The sequence below is a fragment of the Homo sapiens genome, chromosome 3 (genome assembly GCF_000001405.40).
Source record: "Homo sapiens chromosome 3, GRCh38.p14 Primary Assembly".
NCBI lineage: Eukaryota > Metazoa > Chordata > Mammalia > Primates > Hominidae > Homo > Homo sapiens.
The window spans coordinates 10,499,342-10,525,400 of NC_000003.12; the positions used below are offsets into that span (position 1 = coordinate 10,499,342).

Consider the following 26,059-nt stretch of genomic DNA (forward strand, 5'->3'; position numbering starts at 1 on the left):
AAGATGGGTGCTCAGCTAACCCTTGGTTTACGGAGGAGCAAACTGAGGCGAAGTCACTGGTTCAACCACACACAACCGAACGCACATGACTGAATAAGCAATTCCCCTCCCACGCATTACATGGGAAAACAAAAAGCATTTGTAAAGTGCTTGCGGACACATTTTAGCGATTAGTACTATTATGATGAACATTTCGGTACTTGGCAATTACCCCATAAAGTCAGTGCTGCTGCCCCTATTCTCCGGAAGAGCACAATGACGTTCACAGAGTCAGTGGCAGAGACAAGGAACTGTGGCTCTCAATCCTCTGCCACATGTTGGTCTCCTGGGACCACGGCTGGGCCCCTTCACACCTTGAAGCTCCCCTGCCTGTCTCCAGCCTCTCTCTGGTGCCCAGGAGCCCCTGCAGACCTGGGGTCTTCATAGGGCTGGCTGGAATTCCTGCCCCATGGATTCCTAGCTGTGGGCCCTAAGGGGTCTCTGGGCATCCCCCAGCCAGCTACAAAAAGGTGGAAAGGTGAAGGAGCACCAGGGACCTGGGTTCAAATCCCAGCTCTGCCCCTCACTTGCTGTGTGACTTGGGCACATTCTTTTTTTTTTTTTTTTTTTTTTGAGATAGAGTCTCACTCTGTCACCCAGGCTAGAGTGCAATGGTTCCATCTTGGCTCACTGCAACCTCCACCTCCCAGGATCAAATGATTCTCCTGTCTCAGCCTCCTGAGTAGCTGGATTACAGGCATGCACCACCAGGCCCGGCTAACTTTTTTTGTATTTTTAGTAGAAACGGGGTTTTGCCATGTTGGCCAGGCTGGTCTCGAACTCCTGACCTCAGGTGATCCACCTGTCTTGGCGTCCCAAAGTGCTTGGATTACAGGTATGAGCCACTGCGCCTGGCCTGACTTGGGCACATTCTTAATGTCTCTGGGCCCTGGTTTCTGTAATCCGGAAAATGGGTGATGGTGAAGAAGAGATAAGACTGTGTGCAGGTCTTATGAGCAATAAACACCTCATAAATCTTAGTGACTGCAGTGGGTTGAACGGTGTCCTATCCAAAGTTCATGCCCACCTGGAACCTCAGAATGTGACCTTGTTTGGAAATAGGATCTTTGCAGATGGAATTAGCTAAGGATTTTGAGATGAAATCATCTTGGGTCTAGGTTGGGCCCTAAATCCAATGACCAATGTCTTTAGAAGCAGAGGAGAGGACACCGAGAGACACACAGGAAGGAGTGAGGTGAAGATGAAAGCAGAGATGGGTGTGACGCAGCCACAAGGTGAGGAAGAGCAAGGGTTGCTGGCCACTGCCCGTAGCTAGGGAGACAAGGGACAGGCTCTTCCTCAGCCTCTCCAGGAAAAGCCAACCCTGCTGGCTCCTGACTCTAGACTTCTGGCTTCCAGAAGTGGGAGACAATACACGTCTGTTGTTTGAAGCCACCTAGCCTGTGGTCATTTGTTATGGCAGCCACAGAAAACAAACACAACGGGCTGTCCCTGCAGTTGCTCTCCTTGCTACTTCCTGAGACTTGCAGTGTTTCTGACCCTTCACCCCAAGGGGCAGTGGGCAGGAGAAGCTGCCCTCACCAAGGACACTGGGGGGCAGGATCACTGACCCCTCTCACAAGGGGAGAGCTTGGGACCAGAGGGCTTACACAGCTTTTCCAAGGTCACTCGCCAGTGATGAGCCGGCCTGGGACCCAGCTCTCCTGACCCTCAGACCAACACACTCTCCCCCATACCCAGGGACCTCTGTTTCTTTAGGAACCTGAGCTGTGGCCCCTGCTCGGGCCTGGTCACTTGCCCTCCTGGTCCTGCCAGCCGTGGTCTCTGGCCACATATCTGGAACTCTCTGACCCTGCAGAGATTTCCTAGACTGTGAATGACACTTCTAAGGCTTTTACCGTCACTCCCGCTTCCCCCTGCCTCCCGCCGCCTCCATCCAGACTGTCAAGTGAAGACCGGGGTGAAGCCGAAGCCACACTGCCCAGCAGGAGGTCCCAGGAGTTTTCCATAGCATAACCCATTTTTTAAACGGTTTTTTTTTTTTTTTGAGACAGGGTCTCGCTCTGTCATCCAGGCTGGAGTGCAGTGGCACAATCACGGCTCACTGCAGCCTTGACCTCCCGGACTCAAGCGATCCTCCCACCTCAGCCTCCTGCATAGCTGGGACGACAGGAGTATGCCACCACACCCTGCTAATTTTTAAATTTTTTGTAGAGATGGGGTCTTGGAGAGTGCCCTTGGAGCATGGCTCCCAGCTGTCTGCTGAGAAGATGGCCTTGTTTTGGATTTGAGGGTTCATCGGTCCTCAGGAGGGCCTGATTTAGCTGTGCAGGGTGAAGCCAGGGGCTAGGGGTTGGTAGGGGACTGGTGGGGAGAGGAAATGAGTTTCAGTCTCATTCAGTCACCCACTAGGCTGGAGACCTCAGTTTCCCCACGTGTGACAGGTACAGGCAGAACAGCATGGTGTCTAGGCCACCCCCAGCTCTGAGCGCCTATGTGCTCCACCAAGCCCACTCTTAAGCACCTCAGCTCCCCAGGGTGCGGAGTGAAATGGGTGAAAACCCAGGGGTACCTGTGGAAATGTAGCCCCTGGGACCTCCTGATTCATCAAGGTAGGGCCCAGAAATCTGCCCCCATCAGGTGATCTTTAGGTTAATTAATGCATTAATGGGTTTCCTGACCCATACCTGTGGCTGGGCAGGGGGAAGGCAGAGGAGGGCAGTGGGACAGCAGGCGGATGGGCCAGTGTTTCAGGCTCTGCACATAGCATAAGCCACAGGCAGCTTTTCTGACCTCCGATCTGCAAACTAGAGATTTCTTTCCTTTTTTCCCTTTCTGATCTCAGAGTTGGCCAGTTGCAGCAGCAAGGTGCTCACCTGCTCCGGCTCCTGATCCTGATGCCAATCACACCTTCGTGCACAGCCCTCTACAGTGTCCAGGGCTCTCTGGCAGCTGTGGCATAAAACAGGGCAGAGATAGGCCTGCCTGGCCACAGATGAGAAGATTGAGGGCAGAGAGAGGAAGTGACTTGGCCAAGATCACACAGCTGGTCAGGAGCAGGGCTGGGCCCAGGGCTCTCATACTTTCCACCCACAGTCAAACACCTGGGGAAAACCAGGGGCCAACACAGGCCTCTGCTGCTTCTTGTCTGGGGCCTGAGAGCACTTGCAAGAAGCCCAGGTCTCTACAGAACACGGTGTGACCTTGGACAAGTCCCTGTGCCTGGCTGGGCCACAGTTTCCTTTTTATAAACGGTCCCAGCTAGGTGGCCTCAGAAGGCATCTGTCTGCTTTGGCTTTCTAGGCATCAGCAACTCCATAGGGTAAAGGGACGACACAGCGGTCCGGCTGCCTAGGTCAGGGCCACGCCCGCCTGGGGAAGGCTCCTCCGCCTTCACCCATAGGAGATCCTCTTCACTCTTTCTCGGAATCTTGCCACAAAATTCTAAGTTCTTGAGCTATAGGTTCCCAAAATTTTGGTACCCCAATTTGAACTGGCCTCATGCCGAAGGGTCAAAGAGGGTAGTTGGGCACCTGGTGGCCTGCCTTCTACCTCCCCTCTGCCACATGCCAGCTGTGTGACCTTGGGTGACACAGCTTCACCTCTCTAGATACAGCGTCCTCATCTGGGACGTGGGGATAACAGGGCTATGGGCGTCCTCACTGAGATGATACGTGCAAAGCAGTTAGCTGGGTGAATGCTAGCTGGATTACTATTATTTACTTGGGTCCCCTGACCCATACCTGCGCCTGAGCTGGGGGAACGCAGAGGAGGGCAGCGGGACAGCACAGGAGGGTGCCAGCATTTCAGGCTCTGCATACAACGTAAGCCACAGCAGCTTCTCTGACCTTCAGTCTGGAGGGGACTTTGGAGTCTGCTGAAGGTGTTCCAGGCCCCAGCTCTCAGAGACCCCATAGCAGCGGGCTGGTTTCCTGATGCCAGGGAGAGGGCTGGTGGGGCCAGTCTGGGCTCCTGGCGGTCTGGGCCACGGGCAGCAGCTGCGTCCCTGGCCGCCTCTGTCTCCTTTCCAACTTTGGGCAGCCTTCTCTGAAGAACATCAATAACCCAAGATGGCCTTGCTGAGTCTAATCACAGCTCCCTGGGAATACGGGCTGGCCCTCCCCCAACGCCTGTGTGAGGCTGTGGCGGGCACTTAGGATCCAGTATCCCTCTGTCCTCATCGGAAGTCCCTTAAGGGGCAAGCTCTCCCTAGCACCCACAGAGCCACCTTGCCTCCTGGAAGCTGAGGGGGCGGGTGTGTGCACGCAGCATCCGCAGAGGTGCTGCATCTGTGTGCCTGTGGCCGTCTTCTTATGTGTGCAACTGACATTCACCTGTGGGCACATTCCAGCATGCCATGTGCCTGCCAATGCACGGGCAGGCACGCAGATGGCATTCAGAGCCCCACATGTGTGTGCCTGTTGTTTTCACACCTGAGCCAGCCCTCAGGTGGGTACACACATTTCTGGCTGTTGCAGGGCACTGTGTGCAGCCTACTGCTTTCCCGTGTTAGTGCTACATGCATGTGTGGGCAAGCTGCATGCACAGGTGTGTATGTGTGTACTGCATTCGTGTGTGTGCTGTGTTTTGCACGTGAGCATGTGGTGTTCAGGAACGTGGGTTGTATTTACAGGTGCTGGGGTGTGGGCATGGGCATTCCATATGTGTATATATGATTTGGACATATATGACGCACTACTTATGGGTACTATATTTGTATCTGTGCATATGTGTGAATTTGTGGGCATGCATATGCCCTGATGTGAATGGGACTAGGGTGTGAAGGTGGCTAAATAATGGTGGCCATCAGCATCTTTCCTGGACCCCCAACCCCCCACAGGACTCCCCAGAGCTGCAGCCCCTTCTTTGCCACTGCTCCTTCAACGAAGTTAACAGGCGGAGGCCCCCAAGGCCTGCGCTCCAAGCCCCCTCCTACTGCACACGTCAAAGGAGAATTTCTCCGGATGGCGCCCGCTGATCCTGGAAATACCCCAAACGTCAGCTCTGCCTCCTCCCAGCGATTCGGAGAGCAATGCAGGAGAGGAGGGAGCCCCTTCCACGCTGGGCTCAGGGCATGCAGCGTCGCACTAAGACCCTCTGCCGGCTGGTCGGGCTTGCCTGCTCACTTACCCTTCTGAAGGTCGAGCCAGGCTGGGCCTCTGCATGGAGGGCCCGAGACCCCCAGGGCCCTTGCCTGATTGGGGCAGGCCAGTCCAGAGCACCCCCCCAACCCCCAACCCCCAACCTGGGTGAGCAGAGGACAGCCGTGGTGTGGAATAGCTACTTGGCTAGAAAGGGGTTGCTGCTGTCCGCAACCCACCCTCAGGGAGTCCTGAGGCCCCCTGCTGCATTTTCCCATCCTGACCCTGCAGGGGGCAGGGAGGAGCCTCAGGTGCCCTATCCCTCAGCTGGAGACCACTGAGGCTGGCCTAGGAAGTGGGCTTCTGGGCAGAGGGTGCCGACTCCACCACCCAGCATGACTGCTGCAAAATGGCCTGGCCACCCGTTCCTGCCACCCTCCTGGCCATGGAGGGGACCCAGGAACACGTCCCTGCCACCACATGACCCGGCTGGCCTGACCCAATGAGTCCCAGCACACAGCTGCCCACCCCACCAAAGGGACGCTTCACAGGGGCCTCCTCCTGCCTCTTTCCTGGGACTCTGACCAGGGTGGGCAACGGGCACCCTCCAGTCCTCTTGGTCTCCCTGGGACCGGCTCAGAGAGAAGAGAACCTTGTCCCCTGCCACCAGCTTGCTGGCCCTTGCATAACATCCTTAGGGGGCATTTGCAGTCCAGAGGCTGCCGGAATCTACCTGAGACCCTGGGCATCCGCTTGTCCGAGGCCCCCCTGTCCTAGTCCCCAGCATCCAGCCGTCCCCCACAACACGCGGACCCTCACACTAGTGTCTCCCTCAGCGGCGGCTCCCAGTGCAGCCTCGGCTGCTGCCAGATAAACAAGCCCTGCTCCCACCCCCCCTCCACGCTGCCACCGCCACCACCATCAGCACTGAGAAAAATCAAATGAAATGAAACAAAATAAAATGGGTGAGGGAGGAAGGGGAGAGTGGAGTGGGGCGCTTTTTATTTTTTATTTTCTCATGCTGGGGGATGCCGGTACTTACTTGGCTATGAAAATCACCACCAATCCTGCACGGTTTCCCGGCGGGCAGCCCCGTAATCGCGGTGCGGCAGCTGGTGCCGCGGCTGAGCCCAGCCAGCGTGCCCGGGCCCCTCTGCAGACTGTACCATCCTGCCCGAGCGGGTGGGGGGCGGGGGGCGGAGGCGCCGGCGCCGGTTCTAGGAGAGCATCTCGCCGGCAAAATGCAATCTCGGGGGAGGCAGAGGCCGCCCCTGCCGCTGCCGGAGGCTGGGGGATGGGGGCGGGAGGAGGGAGGGAGGGAGGGACACAGGGAGGGCCGGTTCTGGAGGGGGCACGGGGGAGGAGAGTGGGGGGCGGGGGGGGTGTGTGGACCGAACCACCACGCTGTTGTTTGCGGTTTTAATTCCTCCCGTGGGATCATGAGGAACCGAAGCTGGCAGAGTCCCAGGAATATGCCCGCTCCCCAGAAGCAGGAGGGAATGTCAAGGGCACGGAGAGGGTAGGGCTGGGCTGTGCTGGAGGGAAGGGGGTCCTGAGAGTGGTGGTGGGGAGAACGGGAGCAGAGAGGGGAGGATTTTGCTCAAATGGCCCCAAGTCGTCCCTTGCTTTCTGGGGGACTTATTTGGTCAGGGGCTCTGGCCCCCCTCTTTGCAGTCAAGGCACCCCCAGACCTGGGGGGCAAAGGGGCAAAGGTCGCAAATGGGGAGAAGTCGACTCAACACATTTTAAACACATCTGTGTTTCCAGGGCCAGTGGAGCTGAGCCCGCAGCAGCTCTCTGCTGCCCTGAAGCGCTACCCCTGCGACCCGCCCTGCCTGTGTGCGACCCCACCTGCCCTCGGGGGGGTGTGGTGGTGGGGGCTGGCTTGGCAGAAGGGCCTGCCTCAAGAAGGTGCCCACCAGCAGGGGTGTCTGCATGTCTGTACACCCACCTAATCTTCAGGACATCTATGATGAGTTGCAGGCCGACTGTGGGCTGACTGACACTTCCACGGGAACCCAGGGACCCCGGGTGAGGAGTCGGTAGGGTTGGAAGCCCCTAGCCAGCTGCTCACCTCTTCCTGCCTAATCTCTGCCAGACTTGCTGCTCTTTCAACTCCAGATGGGTGGGAGGAGAGCCCTAAGAGCAAGGTTAGGAGGTCACCGGGGGCGAGGGGCTTCTCTAGAATTCTGAAGCCTTGGCCTCCACTGCCCTGCCCCCTCCAGGAGGGGTACCCTGCTTGGAGGGAGGGCACTGAAGGTGGAAGGACCTTCAGGACCAGTGTCTCAGGGCACCTGTCAGGGTGGAGGGGTGCATGGGGGACAGGGGCAGGGCTGGAGGCGGCCCCGGGAGGCAGTTCCAGGCAGAAGCTGCCTCTTTCCCCTGCCCCCACCTCCTGCCCACCTCTGAGCTGCCCGCCCGAGCGTCCCGAGCTGCCGCTCCATCCCTGGGCTGGCACAGAATACCAATTTGTCTCGTTAAGCTGAAAGTCTGCACTGCACCAAAATCAGAACCCGGCCGTGCAGAGGGGCCACGGGAGGGAGACAGTTGGGAGCGCCTGAGGTGGGTCTCCCACCAGTAGGCCATGCTGAGACCTCCTTGCTCCTCAGCCCCCAGCCCCATGGAAGGGTGCCCACCTGCCCCTTAGCCCGCAGGGTGGCCTCAACGCAGGGAGGATGCTGCGAAGCTACGATGTCAAGGGCCGGGTGGTCATTCAAGGCCTTGGCCTCCACTGGGGCAAGGGTGTGAGTCAGAGGCCAGGCAAGGCTCCCTGCTGGGGTTCTGACAGAGCAGCCCAGGACACCCCTCAGGGAGGCTCTCGACCCCACACCAATAGCCCAAGACTGGGGGCTTCCAAAGCAGCCTCATCTCTGCTTCATCTTGCGGGTGCAGATGGGAACTCTACCCCTCTTAGGGGTGTAGTTGGGGGGATTCCACTGGCCACCCCTCTAGGTGGTCTTCTAAGTCAGCAGTCCCTAGTCAGCTCCACCCCAGGGACCAGGGCCAAGCATCTGCCCTTCCCCAAGGCCCACAGGCTCTCCGTTCCCCAAAACAGGCCCGTGTAAAGCTGTTCCGAGATGTTGGAGCGAGGGTGGGCAAAGACGGGCAGAGGCGGAAAGGCCCATTGCACCTCCCATCTGTTGCCAGCCTACATGTCTGTGCCAGGAATCCCACCATTATTACTTCAACATCTTTGGCGGTAAACTGCTTTCCCTGCTTACAAAATAGCCCGAGAAGCAGCCTGTTATGAGCCACACATTTCAACAATCACACTGCCTTCTGTGTCCGGCACACTTTACAGTTTGTAAAGGCCACCTACAAAACAGTAAATCATTTGATCCTCCCAACTACCTCTGGGGTGGCTGCCGTGAGCACCCAAGGTACAGATGGGGAAGCTCTGTGTAGTTCAGGGGGATGTGGTGGCCAGGGCAAGGTGGCACAACCAGTAAAGAGTAGACCAAACTTGTGACGGAGGCCTCTGGACTCCAAGCCCAGGGCTGCCTGCATGCGCAGGCCATCATGAGTGTGGGCTCACTGGGAGCCCTGACACTCGTCCGCTCCCAAGTCTTGAGTCTTACCTTCCCGGTGGTCCCTGTCTGAGACGGGCTGGGCTCTCACCAACGCACACTAGCAGCCAAACTCTCAGGCAGTTGTGGATTTTGGTTTTCAGACCCTAAGACTAGAACTGCCACCTGGCCGAGTTCCCATCTCCTTGACATTCCAGATCCCATGTCTTTCAGCGCCTGCATCCACCCCGCAGTGACTGGATGCCCCTATCTCCTGAGGCAGTGCAAATATTGAACAGCAAAGTTTGAAGGTTTTTCCTTGTGGGTATACCCCAGTTCTAGGCCCACCCTACTCATTCTTCGAAGTCCAACTCAAATTCTGCTTCCCCAGACAGTCCTTCCTGATTCCACCAACTGAGTTGGTTCATGCCTCTGTTCTACCTCTGACCACACTGTATTGTGATGGTCTACACGTCTGTCTCCCTCACTGGGCTGTGACCACATCAGACATGTCTCCAGCATTCCAGGTCTCAGGTCCCAGCATGTGTTAGATGGTGCAGTAAAGGCTTGAATGAGTCTGCTGGACCCTTGAGAACTCCTATCCAATTCTCCCATTTTACAGTTCAGCAAACCGAAGCCTCAAGAAAAAGATCAGGGCTTGCCTAAGGTCATTCTTGAGGGTGGAATCTGGCTGCAGACATCTGTCCCTTGCCCCGTCCCCTTTGCCTTCTCTTCCTGCAGCAGATACACCTGGGTCATCTGGCCTGGCCTTCCAGGATGTGTTGGGGGGCAGGGGGTATTGGACAGGCAGAGGTGTTGTGAAATTAGACAAACAATGGCACTAGTGTTGCAACTCCAGGAAGGTTGGAAATGACAGGTCAGGGTCAGCCACAGGGAAGAGGGGGAAAGAGGCAAGAGGCCAGCTGGGAGGATTACTGATAGCTTCTGCCTCCAGCATGATTTGGCTTATGGTGGACACCGATTGAGAGTCAGGGTTAGGGAAAGGTATGAGACATAGGGGAGGGGGACGGAAGGAGGAGCCAGCCAATCTGATTTTTACTCTGTGTTTAGTTGGCCAGACCATGTTTTTCTCCCTTGGGGAGGGGTCCTGGAGCTGAGACACAGGGTGAGTGAATAGGGTCAGTCTGTCTAGGAATGGGGACACAGAACTTGGCCCAGGCTGCTGGAGGCTCTCTGCACAAGGGCAATAGAGGAGGCTCTCTGCACGAAGGCAATAGAGGAGGTAGGTCCAGGCAGGTCTGAGGGGAGAGGACTGAATGTAATTAGAGGCCAGCTGTGTCTTCGGTATGAGACGTGGGCTCTCTGTTTTTGCTCTTCTTTCTGGGAAGCATGGATGAGGGCTACCCCTGCCCTTGCCTTGCCTGGCTCGGGGTCTGTAGACACCTGGGTAGGAGTTCTGGGGCAGCTCTCAGGTCACTGCTGCCCCAAAGAGCTGTCAGCTGGGTTCCCCGGGGGATAAGAAGGTATTTCCAAAGGTCTCTCACATTCCTGTCTCCTCTGACCCCCACAGATCACCCTCAAAGAGCCCAGGCTTCTTCCCATTTTACAGAAAAGAAAATTGAGACCTGGAGACCACAGGGCCTTACGTGAAAGTTACAGAGCCAGTGAGGACCAAAGCAAGATTGAGGGTCCCACTCAAACCCTAGGCCCCTCTCTCTGCGCCTGCCTAAAGTTACCCAAGTTTGAAGCACACAACTCAGGATCTCTAGCCCCAGACCTTGACGGGCCGTGGACTGTGGATCCAGGGGACCACACGGGCTGGCTTGCCCGAAATCTCCTCTCCAGTCACATGGAAGCCTCGCATCCACTCCCCACTCCCACCAAGGCCTGAAACTCCCTCAGCCAACCAGATCTCGAGTGGAGGCTTTGTGGCCACACAGACCTGGGTCCAACTCCCAGCTCTCTCACTTACAGGATGTGTGACCTTGGGCAAGTGACTCGACCTCCCTGAGTCCCAGGTTTTTTTCATCTGCAAAATGGGTATGATAATACCTATTTGGCGGGGTTGCAAGTTAAAGGAGAATGGCAACTGTTATTAGTGGAAGAAACAGAAGGTGAGAGTCTCCAGCAGGCCCCAGGGAAAATGCTGGCGGAGAGTAGGTGGCTTCCAACTCCTCTGGCTGGTAGATAAGGGTTCCCAGATAGCATCTGCAGGGCTGAGGCTGGTCTGGTCTCTAGTCTATTGAGATTTGAACGCAGGTCACCAATTCTCCCCTCCTCCTACTGGTCCTTGCTCCCTCAGGGAGGAGGTTGTAGGCCTGGCTTCTGGCGAATTCTGGCCAGCCACCATTCACACTGACATCCTACTATGTGCCAGGCATTCTGTGCACACACCTCGTGTGTTCCTCACAAAACCCTGGGAGGTGGATCCTATTTTTATTCCCATTTTACCGATGAGGAAACTGAGGTACAGGTAAAACATTGTAGCGCAAGGTCACAGAGTGAGTAGGGGAATTGGAGCTTGAAATAGGAACTGCAGGAGGCCCTGTGGCGAGCCCAGAAACGCTGTGGGAGGTGGGGTGAATCTGGGTCCTGGAACTGCTTGGGACCTAGGTTTCCCAAAGCAGTGGGCATATCTTCCCGGCCACACAGCTTAGAAAACCTTAGCCCCGTGAGGGTCCACCCTAGGCTCCCACCTGTGTGGGGCAGGTGAGTGGTGATGGCTGACCCTGCCTCCCTTCTGCAAGGCCAGAGGCCAAGGTCAGAGCCATGAGCTCACAGTGTTACTGTGGAAACAATGAGGGATCTGGTGCCTTTCCTCCTGGAAGAACGCAGAGCTTGGGGAAGCAGGAGCTACTCTCAGAGGACTCTCTGGGGCAGACTGCCTTTCCCAGGCACAAGGCCATGGTCTCATCTGCGCTGCCCCTCAGAGCTAATACCTCCTTGGTAATGCGGAGTCATACATGCTGCCCACTCCCGCCCATCAATCCTGACTCCTAACTGTCCTCCCCCCTCCTCCCCTGCCATCCCCTGGCCATTTCCTAACTCCCTGCAGCCTTGGGGAGCTGCCTACATTCCTCCAAACCCTTCTTTGGCTCCTTTGTGCTCTCAGCATCAAATCCAAACTCCTCACTGTGGCTCATGAGGCCCAAATAACCACTCCAGACTGCTCCCATTACCCTCAGACCCCACAGTGGGTCTTTGTTGCTCCCAAAGACACTCTTGCATTTCCGTGCCTCTGCGTCTTTGCATGTGCCACCCCCTCTGCCAGGGATGCCTTCCCTTTCCACTTCTCTGCCTGGAGAACTCCTACTGATCCTTCAAGACTCAGCTCCAGCAGCCCCTCCTCCATGAAGCCTTCCTTGATTTTCCCTCCGTCCCCCTTTTCCCCATGCCCCAAGAAGAGTTTTTTGCAATTAACCTTTTTATATGCATCTGTGTTGTCCATCTGGCTGGGGTACTCCCCAGGGACAGGAAACTGGGTCTCATTTGCCTGAGTTATCCCTAGCACTGGGAAAAGATCCTCAATAAATATTGATTGAACTGATAAATGCAGGTTTGTTGAATGAAAAAGCAATTCTGCTAGTAGTTTTGGATGGTGTTTGCATCTCTTTAGGCTCTGGAAATATTCTTTGGACGCATTTAGGGGTCCTGGCTTAGGAGTTGCTATTTCCTGAGCTGTCAATGAATGGGGCTCCCTCCCCATGCCCAGCTTGGGAAGGGTAAAAGGAGACCCCAACTCCACTCAGATCCCACTGCCCAGAGATGTCCCAACTGGGACCAGCGTGCTTGAGCCCAGGGCTGGACTCAAGGTGAGTTGAACACCCAGGAAGGAGAGCCCCTATTCCTAAATGGCCCCTCCAAGCTACCTACAACCTGACACTCCGCCATTCGTAATTCATTTCTTTGGATCATTCAGGCAACAGATATTTATTCACCTCTCACTGAATGTGAGGTCCTGTACTGGGGTCCCTAGCTAACATTGACGTGTGTGTGTTTTCACTCTTGCTGAAAGGCTGCCTCCCTGAAGAAAGAAGAGGTGAAGAAAGGAGGAAAGGGAGCGGGTGGGGATGATGAATCCAGGAATGTCAGAAGAGGAAAGGGAACTTGACATTTGCTGAGCACCTACTGTGTGCCAGGCTCTTAACTACTACCCCAGGAGAATTTGATGTTATCAGTCTTCAACGTAGAGGTGAGGAAACGAGCCCAGAGAGGGTGTGTGGCTTGTTCAAGGGTGCATAGCTCTGTGGCACAGGATTGAGGATCCAGATATGCATTGTCTTCCCTGAAGCCTGTGATCTCTCTGTCGTCTTCCTGCTGAAGAGGGTTGGGGACCCAGCAGGGAAAGAGGATTCCTAGAGCAGAGGGGTGACGACTGAGAATGCTGTGAGCTGGCAGGCCTAACTGCTGACTCACTGGGTGGCCAACACTGCTGGGAATATGACCAGTAAGAAGTTAGGGAATAAAATGTGGTCATCCCAGGGGCCTGCATGTCCAGCCTGAATGGCTCAGAGGCCACAGGGGCCACATCAGCTACCTCTGCTGAGCATATTCCTGGGTGCTAAAGTGTGTGCGCACACACACACACACACACACACACACACACACACACACACACACACACACACTGTCTGCCCCCAACAGTCTTGCTATGTGGAGAGTATCACCCCCACTTTATTGATGAAGAAACTGAGACTTAGAGAGTGGAGCTAACAAACCCAGTATGACACACCTGGAGTTAGAATGAGAGCTTAGATCTTTCCTGGAAGGCTTGCAGAGGAGCAGAGGGGCTGCGGGCTCACTCCCTGTGAGGTTTGCAGGCAGCCAGGGTCTCAGAACAACCACAGCCCTTCCCTGTCACTCCAGCCCCACCCTCTGGGACTCTGCCTCAGTCCTCCATTGCACCCACAGGCGGCAATTCCGAAGTGGTGCAAAGAGTTTGGGAGCTGGAGTCTGGTGGCCCTTGCTCAAATCCCTGCTTTACCGTGATGGGCTGTGTGACTTTGGGCAAGTCTCTCAACCTCTCTGGCCTCAGGCTCCTCATTTGTAAAATGCGCACGATGCCATGTGCTTCCTGCTTCTCCATCGACTTATTTATTTCACAAATACCCATTGAGCATCTCCTTCCCAGGTTCTGTGCTAGGTGCTGAGAATACAGTGGTAAGCAGAAACACCCATGGTGTCTGCTCTCAAGAGGGTTTAGAGACAGCCATGAAATGAAATGATCACACAAACCAAAGTGTATTTACAGAGGGGTGAGAGCATGCTCAGCAGGAGGCCCCGGTGTCTCTGGCAAGAGCAGGAAGCCTCACAGAGGGTTTCCTCGAGGGGGTGATGACTGAGCTGGGGTCTGCAGGCTGGAGTGGGAGTTCAGTAGGTAAGAGGAGAGGCAGTGTTGCCGACAAAGGGTGTGGCTTGTGCAAAGGCCCTGAGACTGGAAAAGCTTAGCAGTTCTCAATGAATTAAAAGGAGGCCCGGATGGCTGGGGGAAAGTGTGGGCAAGGGACAGGAGAGGCAGTGGGGGCCCCTGTGGACCACTGTACAGATTTCTGTCCTTACCCTGGGAAGGGGGGCAGCTGGGAAGGGTTTTCAGGATGGAACCCGAAGATGAACACGAAGCCCTCGGTGAGGGCCCTGCGTGTAACAGCATCTGCAATGCGGCAGTGCAGCACAGTCATGTCTTGCCTTCCGCAGGTCCTATGATCCACTCAATGTGCTGTGATCTGGGGTGGACTCCGAGCCCAGGACACATCAGCAAGGAGGAAAGGGGCCCTGCTTGCACAGGGCCACAGTTGGGAGGAGAAGAACAGCCAGTAGACATTCACAGAGTCGCGAATGTGCAGGGGGCTGAGGGGGCACCCTGGCATAAGGGGAGACTGAGGCCAGGGTCATGGGCAATTGAATGAAAGCTGTAGGCTCAGGACTCTCAATCCAGTGCTCCCTCCAGGGGCTGGGAAGTTCCCTTGACTGACCTTAATGGTAGCCCTGCTTGATAGAACCTGGTTTTTTCCCAACCCCCCAGGGCAGCTGGGTAGGAGGGATGCAGAGACGGAAGAGGGGACACGCCCGCAAATGATAAATGGCCCTGAGACGGGGACATGATATTACATGCCAGGTTCTGTTTGTTCTTAGAACTTTTCATGTGTTGACTCATTCAGTTCTTCCCAAAGACCTTTTAAGGTGGCTTTGATGATCACCCTAATTTTACAGGTGGTGAAATGGAGGCACAGAGATGTCAGGCAACTTGGCCAAAGTTGTCCAGCTGGTAAGTGCAGTTGGGATTTGGACTCAGGCAGCTGGCTCCTTAGTCCCTGCCTGTTCTTCCCTACCCTGTGATAGGTCTGGGGAACACTTGGGTTCTGCCAGGGTGTCCAGTGAGTGGTTGAGGGGAGCAGGGAAGAGGTGGGATGGAGGGCCAGAGCCAAGCCTGAAGGAGGAGGACAGACAGGAACTGGCCGCCCTTGGGAGATGGTGATGCTGATGGAGTCTTGATGGGTTCCTTAGACCCACAAGGGTGTCATATCTCCCACATACTCCCCAGAGGATGCTGGGCCCAGAAAACTTCTGGGAATTCCCTTTGGGATCTGCCTTTGGGGCTGGTTTATGTGGACTTGCGGCGCATCAGGGCTGGAGGTGCCGCTGCATTCCTGTGTCCAGCCCTAGCTTTCCATTTTACAGATAGGGATCCTGAGGCCCACAGAGTGGTCACCACCGGCCTTGAGCACACTGCAGCCAGGCCAGGGCTTGGAGGCAAGTGCTCACTCCAGGGCCGCCTGTTAGCCCCATAAGGAACCCCCCTTATGTGGGGCTACCTTGCTCAGGGCTCATCTTCATCAGACACAGCTCCAAAGAGCATAGGCTCTCCAAGGAGGCCTGCCACCAGCAGCGGGGAAAGCCCCAGTCTAGTGGCCACTCTGCAGGCCCTCTATGGATGAGACTTCCTGAAAGGCTGGGCCACCTCTCTCACTGCACATCCCCCTGCAGGTGGCCCCAGGGGGTTGGAAGAGCACTAGATCAGGGGTTATTGGGCAAGACAGCCGCAGTGGGCCGGGAGAGTGCTGACCTTGTCCCCCCAGCCTTCCTGACCTCCCCAGGGGCTGGTTAGCAGTAACCAAATAAAAGAAGGGTATGGAAGGATCTCTGTAAACTGTAAGTAGATTCTCAGATACAAGGTGCTGTTTCTTTCTGGGGGACACAGAGCATAGAGCAGGGGCTTGGGCATCAAAGAGATGTGGGATTGAAGCCCAGCTCTGCCACTTACCACTGGGTGGCCTTGTGCTAGTCACTTGGCCAATGTGAACCTCAGTTTCTATTAATACATCTGTAAAGTGGGGCTAACAATACCTGCAATTATGGGAGTGTTGGGAGGCATAAATGAGTAATACATATGTACATGGCACATAGTGGGTGTTCAGGGATGTCTAGCTTGCTTTTTCATCTCTATTCTGCAAAGGTGACAACACTTTTAATTCATAGACAATCTGATCTAAACAAAATGAGAGGGAATCTGAAGATATCGTTCGTTCATTTCTTCAGCATTAAGAGGGTCATTTCCTGCTCTGCTCTCTCCCCATGGGAGTGTCTCAATCTTCTCAGGACCTCCCCCAAGGGTGGTAACCATTTCCCCTGTGACTTGGTGGGAGCTCTCAGCTGCCAGCCCTGCAGAGGAACCCACCCATCAGCCTCTGCCTGAAAACCCAGCCCCAACTGAGGTCCCAGAACTACCCGGGCTAGAGGCCAGGTGGTATATGTCTGGGGCACAGGCTCTGAGTTCACACAGGCCTGAGCTTAAGTCTGAGCTCCACCACTCACTGAGCTCTGTGATCTTGGGCAAGTCAGTTCCCCCTTCTGAGCCTGGTTTCTTCATCAGTAACATGGTGATGATATCTACTTTGGAGTTGTGTCCTGAGAATTAACTGAGATACTGCCTGTAAAATACTTTGCCTATCATGTGTTACATGCACAATTAATGGTAGCTTAAAAACTACCTGTAAGCCCCTTCTCTTTTCCCTTGAAACAAGCAGGACGTAAGTATCTCCATCTTGTGTGGCATGGTGTGGCAGCAGTCTTGTTCTGGAGTTGCTTATACTGACTTGTGAGAGCCGATTGTGTTGTCAGTGATCTCATATTGGCAGCTTACAATCTGCCAAGGTGGGAGCATTGACACCACAGAAATTGGCAAGCACTGGAAAGCAGGACATCCACCTCCCTGAGAGCTGGTTGTGAAACACTTACCAGCACACCACAGAACCCTGGGCAGGCCCGCAACATGGTTACCTGGAGTTCATTACCTTTCAAGTTTCAGGACCCCTTTCTGATTTAGTTGCCTTTGACCTGTTCCTCCCTGCTGCAGGCTGCCCTGGCCCCAGCCCCTGGGCCTCTGTCGGCTCTCATCCCAGTGCTGATAACCTGCTCTTAGCCCTCCCACCATGGAGCCTACTGACATTTCCCACTCTGCCCAAAGGAGGGCAGTGCCGGACGAGGTGACCCTGGCATGGCATTGTCCTAAAAAACTGTTGGCCAGCGATCTTCTATCTTCTTCTCCTCCTTTTTCCTCTCTTGTTGCTGACCCCAAAGGCACTTCCCAAACAGCCACTCCCTCTTAGCTGCCAGCACCTCAGATACCATCCTGTCGTTCCAGTTCTCATCCCATTGTCCCCATAACATCCATTGCCACTCCTCTGACCTTTCCAGGTCTAACTCTTCTTCCTTCAGCCCCAGCCAGGGGACTCATGGACTTGGAGAAAGGTGGCCCTGGCATCTGTCCTGCTTCTCTTCCTTCTCCTGGCGTGGCACTGGACAAGTTACTCAACTTTTCGGAGATTCAGTGATAAGGAAAGTGATATTTACAGGGCTCTCGCCACGTGCCAGGTGCCGTGCCCACAGCCTTCCTGGCTGACTTCATTCCTTGTTTCCTCATCTGCAAAATGGAGATGATGGAAGTGTCCACCCTGTGGAATTGTACGGTGAGCTGAAGTGACAGCTTAAATGGGCTTGCTGATTGTAAAGTGTCATGCTAATGCTGTTATTCTACTTTGAAGGGCAATGCTTGTTTAGATCTACAATTTTCAGATGTGTGTGTGTGTGTGTGTGTGTTTCTTAAAAAAAGCCACAGGCATGCTATTTATAGCCAGCTCCTGTACAGGTTTTTATCATTCCTTGCCTGCTCTGCTAAAAATAACAAAACGACAAAGGTCAAGTCTGCTTCTACCTATCTGAGGAGTCTACAAAGAATGAGCCTTTTGATTCACTGCCTCGGTGAAGTGAGGACTCTCCTGCCAGCTCGGTGCAGGCCACAGCCCTGGAACTCCTAACCAGGTCGACTGGGTCTACACCGAGGAGCTGAGGAAGGCTGGGGGCGGGGAACCTGCAAGTGTCACACTGGGCAGATGCATCTCGCCTCGGCCACCCCTTCCCCTTCCCCCAGCCTGGGGAGGGAGGTGGTGGTGGAGCACCATAGACTGAAGGACAAATATTCTGGGTCCTGGTCCCAGGGATGCAGTGTGGGCCATGGTTTCCCCATATTCAAAATGAGAGGGGTTGGGAAAATAGCCACTGAGAATTTTCTCTCCAGCCTAAATGCATACATGCTCCATTCTTTTTTCTCTCCCCTTCAGCCTATAACACTATGGACTCATTTAATGAATATCCACTGGCCCTTAATAATGACAATAGCATTGATGATACTGCTACTCAGCCACTACTTGTGGAGTGTCCAGAACATACCAGGCACCGGGCTAAGAAAGCCTTGAGGTGGAGTAAACTCACTGAATCCGTGCAACCCCACTGGAGAAGGAAGCTTGTCATCCCCATCTGATACATGGGGAGGTGACTGAGCCCAGAGCCTTGCACATGCACAGTCTCGCACCAGGCAGTGACAGCTCCAGGATGTGAACTGGGTGTCACGTCCTGGGCCTGTGCTTGGCTCTAGGCACTGTGCCGGGCACAGCAGGTAGGAAGACAGACACAGAGCTTGCTTTCCCTGTCGTTGAGGGAGCGATGGCTGCAGATAGGATGACCTCACACAGTGTGGGAAATGGCAGTAGACAGACGGGGGATTGGGCAGCCTGTGCAGGTTGCAGGGAGGAGCACATTTCACCTTTGCCAGTGAGGCATTCCAGGTAGCAGGCACAGCAAGAATGAAGGTAGGGTGGGGTTGGGGTGGGGAGGGCTTGAAACCTCACAGCAAAAAGATTTGCATTTAGTCTGTGGACCAGAAACCCTCAAACTCCAGTAATGATGTTTGCCAGTCTGCAAGTTCTAGCATATACTTTGCATCTGTCCTGAAATCACCTCCCTTTTAGAAACATATGTATCTCTCTACTTAGTGTTATCTTAAGCATTCATAGTCACAATATCATGGATTTGCCTTGCCAGTTGTATTTTTCCCCTAACACATCAAAGTAAGTGCACAGGTATTAAACTAGAGAGGATGTGCTTGCCCCCCTCCAAAATGCGGACTCGCGTCTGCCTTTGGAAACCAGGACCGTGGGTTTAGGCAGCTTGGAGGCTTGATCCGATCTGGACTACAGAAGGATTTCTCGGAGGTTAGAAGGGATAGGGGAGGCATTCCTGGGAATCTGCCCTTGTCCCATGACAAAGGTCTGGGGGTGCCAGCATGCCCCCAAGCTGAGAGTGCCACTCTTGCCCCAGCAAAACCCCTCCTTGGCCTCAGCTCTCTGGCTTCACCTGAGCCCACTCCTGATCCGCTTTCTCCCAGCCAAGCGCCGCTGCGGCCGTGCTGACCTCAATGACTAACACACATTCCTGGCCTAGTTACAGAGCCCCTCGCCTCGCGTATTTATAGCCACCTCCCAACTCCACTCATGCCTCTGAGGGAGGCCTGGCCCTTCTTTGAAAGCTCCTTTCACTACCCCTGCCCTGCCCCGGGCCCCGCTTTCACCGGCAGGTGCTGTCAGTCTCCCCTCTGTCGGGGACAGGTGTGGGGCAGGGATTTTGTTCTGTGTGGCCATGGGAAAGTGGCTTCCCCTCCCTGGACCTCATCTGTAAAGTAAGAGCCATCATACTCTCCGGCCAGGCTGGGCTGTGGTGAAGATAAACTGAGATATTCATTCTGAGATCATGAGTAATAACTAATGTTCATGGAACACCAACTGTGCACTAGGCCCTGTCTAAACACTTGGCACATTATGAACTCATTTAATTCTTACAACAACCCCACAAGGGACATACTGGTATCATCATGCCAATTTTGTAGAGGAGGAAACTGAGGAACAGAAAAGTTAGGCAGCTTGCCCAAGGTCAAACACCTAGCTGGGATTCAAACCAGACTCCAGAATCTGTACTCCGGGCACTGTGCTGAACTTGACACACAGAGTGGTCCTCAGCCATACTGTGGATTTGCCCTGTTTGTTTCCTGCCTTTGGGGTCCCCTGAATTAGCTAAGCACATCACTCACCGTCTGCAATAAAGTGGCCGAGGCGGGAGTGAATAATGAAGGTGCAATGTGCAATGTCCGGGCCTTTCAAGGGGCTATTGAGGACTTGGCTAATGAGGGAACAGAGCAAGAAAGAGAGAAGAGTCACAGCTGGGACTCCTGTCAAGGTGCCCAGCTTTACAGAGAGGTATGCTGACGCATGGCAGCATGGCAGGGCAGGCTGGCATCTGATGGTACGTGAGAGGCGTTGGAGTTCTAGGAGTGGAGAACTCAGTTCCTGTGTCCCCTGCCCCTACCCCACCTCTGACATCTCTCACCCTTGATCTCAAAGGAGGAAAGCTTCCAATGAATGTTTTGATAGAAAGGTTTTAGGAACTTAAGCCACCTCGTCCCATGAATGTTATAGTTCCAAAAGAAGATTCCAAGAGGGACAAGAGAACAAATATTGTTTGGGTGTTTACTGTATGTGTGGCACTGAGCCAGGCACTCAGCAGTCACTTGTTCATTCAACAAACATTGGCTCAGAACTCACTCCACTCTCTGTGCCAGCACTGATGCTGCCTGCCTTGCATGTGGAGACTTCTGGACCAGGATACCTGCCTAGCAAGTGGCAGGACTGGGATCGAATGCAGGGGTTTTTCTCACATCATACAACTGCTATTGGTGGGTGCAGGGACATCTGACTTCACCTCCTCATACCCTTTACCATATACATTTGGCTGCAGCCCAGTTTTTCAGGTCCCCACCCTGATCCCTCATGGTCACTGGGACATGCTGCTCTTCCTAAAATCAGCCCTAACAGATAAAACTCTATTCCCAACCTCAAAGGAAGCTCCAAGCCATGGTTTCTGGATTCTGGAATTGAAGAGAGGTGTCGGCTGCCTGTCCTTAGCCAGAAAATTAATGGCCAACCCTGATTTAATTAGCTTTTCCTTACAATGATTTAGGGAAGCCTGTAATTAGCTCAGGGGCCTGGAGGGAGAGGCCCAGGTGTTGGAGCCAGTGCTGGAGCAAGCAGCAGGGGAGGGGGGTGCCGGTTTTAAGATCAGACTCCTGCCCTTGCGAGGTAATAGTGGAGGCTGGGAGAACCCCTCACCTCCTCACTGTGGGAGGCGGGTGGAGAGAAATCCTAAATGAATGCAGAAGAAGAGAGGGTGGACTTAGAGATTATAAAAATATTCTTTTACTTTTTTTTTGTTTTGAGACAGAGTCTCATTCTGTCACCCAGGCTGGAGTGCAGGGCACAATCTCGGCTCACTGCAACCTCCACCTCCTGGGTTCAAGTGATTCTTGTGCCTCAGCCTCCCGAGTAGCTGGGATTACAGGCGGGCACCACCACACCCAGCTAATTTCTGTATTTTTAGCTGGGGTTTCGCCAGGTTGGTCTTGAACTCCTAATCTCAAGTGATCTGCCTGCCTGGGCCTCCCAAAGTGCTAGGATTACAGGCGTGAGCCACCACACCTGGCCTCTTTTTTTTTTTTTCTTTTTTTTCTTTGCCTACCCAAATAAAAAAGAGTGCCTTTCTATTTTGATTTGTATTGGAACAAACTATATGGCATACGTGGCTTCGGCAGGCCACACATCACTGCAGGTTCAGAGTGGCAACTAGACTATGTCACTGCAGATAAACTCTCCAAGCCCCTTGCATGTGGCTGTGGCAATCCTCCCACAGTGTCAGGTGTTAAAGCCAGACTTTTCCAGCTAATAACAGGGCAGACTCTGTTTGCAGTTCTGAGGAGGGGGCTCCCAGAACAGGGTCTGCATTTCGTGCAAGGTAAATGGATATTAGCCAGACATTGGACAAGGTTTTGCCTGAGACCCTTGCCAGCTTCAGACTTCCGGGGCACACATCCCAAGGAGTAGATTGTCCCTCTGTGGCACCCCAGCCCCTGTGTGACCCACCTTAGTGGGTTTCCTGCCAAGCCCTGCACCTGCCCCCACACAAATCCTCACAGGGAAGCAGAGCCAATCCTACCACTCAAGAATTTAGCCTTGATCTGGAGGCATCAGAGAAGCCCCCATAAACAATCAGTCAAGTAACAGTGAAGAGTTTGCAGGCTATCTTTGAGGATAAGATGGTATCCAGGACCAGAAAATCCTTCATTCATGAACTTTCAGTCTGGGAACTTTCATGGGCATGAATAAACCCATAGCCAGTGGATAATGTCGGTGATTATGGACAGGTGTTTAATCTCTGGGCCATTTGTTCTTGATCCAGAATGATTTGTCTGTTGATGCTCCTTTTTAAGGTGTTTTAAGGACATTGTTAATCCCTCCAAGTCCAACCAATATAGAAGCAGCGAGAGTGTGGAAACTGTGTAAAGTGATTGTGGGAACGGAGGTGAAATGTCACTCTTTAGAGATATATACACCCAAGGTGCTTGTATTGTGATATCTGAGATGTAGAGACAAGTTGATTGTGAACTCCTTAGGGAGTTAGTCTGAGTGTGAGTGGAGAGCCAGAGGTGGCCATGGGCTACATTTGGAAGGAACAACAGCATTTCTGCTGCCACTTTCAGAATGCCTACTCTGTGTCAGAGGCCACGCCAGCCACATACATCATCTCTAACTCTTACAGCAACCCTGCTAGGGAGGCAATATTAGCCCATTTACAGAAGAGGAGACTGAGAGTCAGCGAGGGGAGGTAACTTATCCAAGACTATCCAGCCAGGCAGGGCAGTGTTTGGACTTCAACCCACGTTTGTCAGGTAACAGTCTGTGTTCTTTCACAGTTCACAGAGGTGGGACAGTGGGGTTGGGGATTGAAAGACAAGGGGGATTATGTGGGTGGGCACAAGGCAGAAAGGAAAATGAATGTAAATTTTTATTTTTAAAAATGTATGCTGTGTACCTACTGTGAGCCAGGTTGCCAAGATGAAAAGTGCAGTGTCCACCCTCCAGCTCCTCGTGGTCCCGTGTATGTGTACTGCTGTGCCCTATTTGAGGAGGCTTCCTTTTCAGTACGTGTGTATTGCCTTTTCTCAGCTGCTGTGCTTATCCCCCTCATCATAATAACCCCCTGTGTGAGGCTCAGAGAAGTTAGCTAGTTGTCTCAAGATCAGACAGCTAGTAAGTGGAGGAGCTGGGATTTGATCCCATATCTGTTTGACTGCACAGCCTGAGACCTTCCCTGGGATCCTCTCTTCCCTGTGACCATCATGCCTATCTCCCTTCTACCTCCTGGTCATTCCACTGGAAGTAACTTTCTGTGTGCATAGCTTCTGCTGAAGCCAGTGTTGGACTTGTTAGCTGGAGAAAGGAGATGTGTTTGGAAACCACCCAAGAAAAAGACACTTGAAATAACTTTTCTCAGTAGCCCTTACTGCTAAAATGTGCTGAATCCCGAACAGGAGTAGGCCTCTGAAGGACTCACATCCACACCATCCGTTTGTCTGGGATCTACAGCTGATGGTGCACTTTTGAAGTCATTACCTCATAGAGCCTCACAGCAGCCTGGGGCAGGTGTCCTGAACCTCCTTTTACAGATGAAGAAGCTGGAGGCTCAGAGAGGTAATGGGGCTTGCTCAAGGTCACACTGACACCTGGGGGTGACCTTGGATGCCTCATGTTTTCTCCCAGAGCCTGAGGTTCTTCAGCTGCAGAGATGGTGACGATGATGTCGGCACCCAGGGTTGCTCTGAGGACTACAGGAGAGGACACAGGTGGAAGAATTAGCACAGGACCTGGCACACAATAGGTGCTCCACAGCTGATAGATGCACTGGACTCTTCAAAGTGAAGGTCACAGATGTGGATAGTGAGGGTAAAGAGAGGCCAAGAGTGAAAGGCTCTTGAGCCACTGCTTGTGCAAACAGGTGGGCTGGCAGCTGCTGACAGTGACAATGGCTGGTTTTTATTGTTTAATCCTCCACAAGTGTCATATTCCATCCTCATCACAAGCTGTACAAAGTGAGTTATGATTTTGTCTCCATTTTGTAGATGGGAAGGTGGAGGTGCAGGCAGGTTGAGTAGGTGGGAACCAGACAGCAGTTTTCAATAGAAAAGAATAAAACAATCCAAGTTCAGAGTATGACAAGCTTTTAACTTTCTATTAAAAAAATCACTCTTAAACGTTTCTCCTGAACATGTCCCCCAACTTTTGTTAGCCTCTCTAGCATTTACTTTGTGACTTCCTTCACCATAGAACTTACTCCTCTCTGGCAGGCCACCCTAGCCCTCATTGCTCATGGAAGGCGGAATCCTGGTGCCCAGCCTGCTGGGCCAGGGCTAGAAGTGAAGTTGGGTTCCATAAATTGCGAATCTTTGCTACAGCTTTGGAAGTGGTGAAGGCTCCTGCTTTATATGCAGCAGCACCTCTGACACATGGTGCAAATGGTGTCTGGCTAACCTAAATCATATTTCAAATATGCCATCGGAAAAACCGTGGTTCACAGGAAAAATGCCCCCTTGATGCTTCCTCCCCCGCTTGATTATTCGGGGATCCTGGATGTGGCTGGTAGCAGGGGAGAGGAGAACTTGGCTCCACTAAGTGGTCAAATATATCAGAGCCCAGGCATTTATCTCTAGGCCCCCGTTTCCTCTTCTCTAAAATGCAGAAAAAAAAAAAAATAAAAGAAAGTGAACTGGCAGGACTAGACTGGAGGGAATCTACAAACCAGCTACTTGTGAGAGCAGCCCACTGAAAATACATTTGTTTGTTTTGCTCAGAGCTTAAAATAAAATTGCATTAAATGCCAATGTTTAAAAATGGGGGGATTGTGCATAAGAATCCAGATTTCTGTCTTCTCTTAAAATATCGTGAGCATTGCCCATCCAGAGTTGGCTGGAGGCGGATGAGGCCACAGAGATGAACATGTGGCCACTAGGTCATCCCCTCTCCAGCTGACTTCATTAAGGGCACTTTCTGCCCTGGACCCAGGAGGTAAGTGAGTCTGTGACGCCTGGACCTGCATCCTGAACGTGGGAGCCTCTTCAAGGGAGGGGGTGGGCTTCTGGCACAAAACCTTTCCTATTTATTTAAAACGCACTCATGATATGCCAGGGTTGTAGTAAACGTATCAGGTACAATTCTAAGCACTATACCCACACCAGGCAACTATTTAGTTCTCATAGCCACGTCCTGAGGCGAGTGCCATTGCTATCACACCCATTTTGTAGATGAGCATGCCGAGGCACAGAGAGGTTAACTCACTTGGCCAAAGTCACATGACCGGTAAGTGACGGCATTGAGATTTGATCCCTGGCAGCTCTGCCTCCAGATCTGTGCTCTAACCATTGTACAGTGCTGCTCCTCTTCCTCTTTTCTGGGAGAATGGCCAGTCTTATGGCTTTGTCCAAGTTTCCATCTCTCAATATGACAACTAATTCATCATCTCCCCAGCTCTCCTTCCCTCTTCTATTTATTACTTCCCTCCCTCATGTCAATCAACTCCTTTAACCTGAACAGCCCTCTAAGGACAGGTATACTATTTTCCCCATGTTGGGGCAAGGACATTGAGACACAGAGAGGTTAAGTAACCTCTCCTGGCTAGAGGTGGGAGAGTCAGGGTTTGACCCTGGCCATCTGTTTGCAGAGTCCATGCTCTTGGCAGTCTCTAACACCCTGGAATCCCCTCAACCACCCAGCTTGCCATTCATTTCTTCCATCCTTCATTTTTTCACTTACCTATCCATCCAACACTCAACCAACACCTTGTGCTCATGCCACCCCTGTGCTGGGCATGGGAGGCTCAGAGATACCTGCATCGAGACTGGCAGGAGTGGAACGGTGACATCCTGCTCTCAGAACAGGAGCTACCTATGAACACTCCCTCTGGGGCCAAGGCCAGTGGGAGAACTGGTTTTCAACAAACAGCCCTGGACAGTTCAGGAGGAGGCAGCAGAGGGGAAGCTGTGTAGCCAGCTTCCTGCAGAGGTGAGTCTGCTGTAAGGCACTTACAGATTCAAGAAGACCTCAGCACCCCTGACACCCTCATCCCCTAACTCCACCCTTGGCAGCTAAAGCACCGACCAGCCTTTTGGTTGTAGTTAGTCCACTGCTGCTGTGGGGCCCTGAGTAAGAGGCTTTGCTCTTCTGGGCCTCAGTTTCCTTATCTGTACAATATCTTGAAATAACCTTTTTGTTTTAGAAGAGTTTTAGATTTACAAAAAAA

At 53.3% G+C, this 26,059-nt stretch overlaps 1 protein-coding gene across 16 annotated transcripts in view, besides 2 other annotated features; it reads right to left on the minus strand.

The window, feature by feature from the left end:
* Window positions 1-26,059, minus strand: part of ATP2B2 (ATPase plasma membrane Ca2+ transporting 2) — a 384,094-nt gene that overhangs the window by 175,319 nt on the left and 182,716 nt on the right. For 6 of the 16 annotated variants that reach the window (NM_001683.5, NM_001330611.3, NM_001438646.1 and 3 more), the window contains exon 1: window positions 6,124-6,245. The exons of 8 other annotated variants lie outside the window; for them this stretch is intronic. The gene's annotated coding sequence lies outside the window, so the exon portion shown is untranslated. Of the gene's footprint in view, window positions 1-6,123; window positions 6,246-8,659; window positions 9,695-26,059 lie in introns of those variants that run through there. 2 more of the 16 variants (XM_047448199.1, NM_001363862.1) reach the window with 2 other exon arrangements.
* Window positions 4,901-5,567: an enhancer, noted in NCBI's record as "H3K4me1 hESC enhancer chr3:10545926-10546592 (GRCh37/hg19 assembly coordinates)". NCBI's record gives its function as "activates a minimal SCP1, AML or CMV promoter by ChIP-STARR-seq in primed H9 embryonic stem cells {active_cell/tissue: H9 hESC(primed)}" and the evidence as "EXISTENCE:reporter gene assay evidence [ECO:0000049][PMID:30033119]".
* Window positions 5,568-6,234: an enhancer, noted in NCBI's record as "H3K4me1 hESC enhancer chr3:10546593-10547259 (GRCh37/hg19 assembly coordinates)". NCBI's record gives its function as "activates a minimal SCP1, AML or CMV promoter by ChIP-STARR-seq in primed H9 embryonic stem cells {active_cell/tissue: H9 hESC(primed)}" and the evidence as "EXISTENCE:reporter gene assay evidence [ECO:0000049][PMID:30033119]".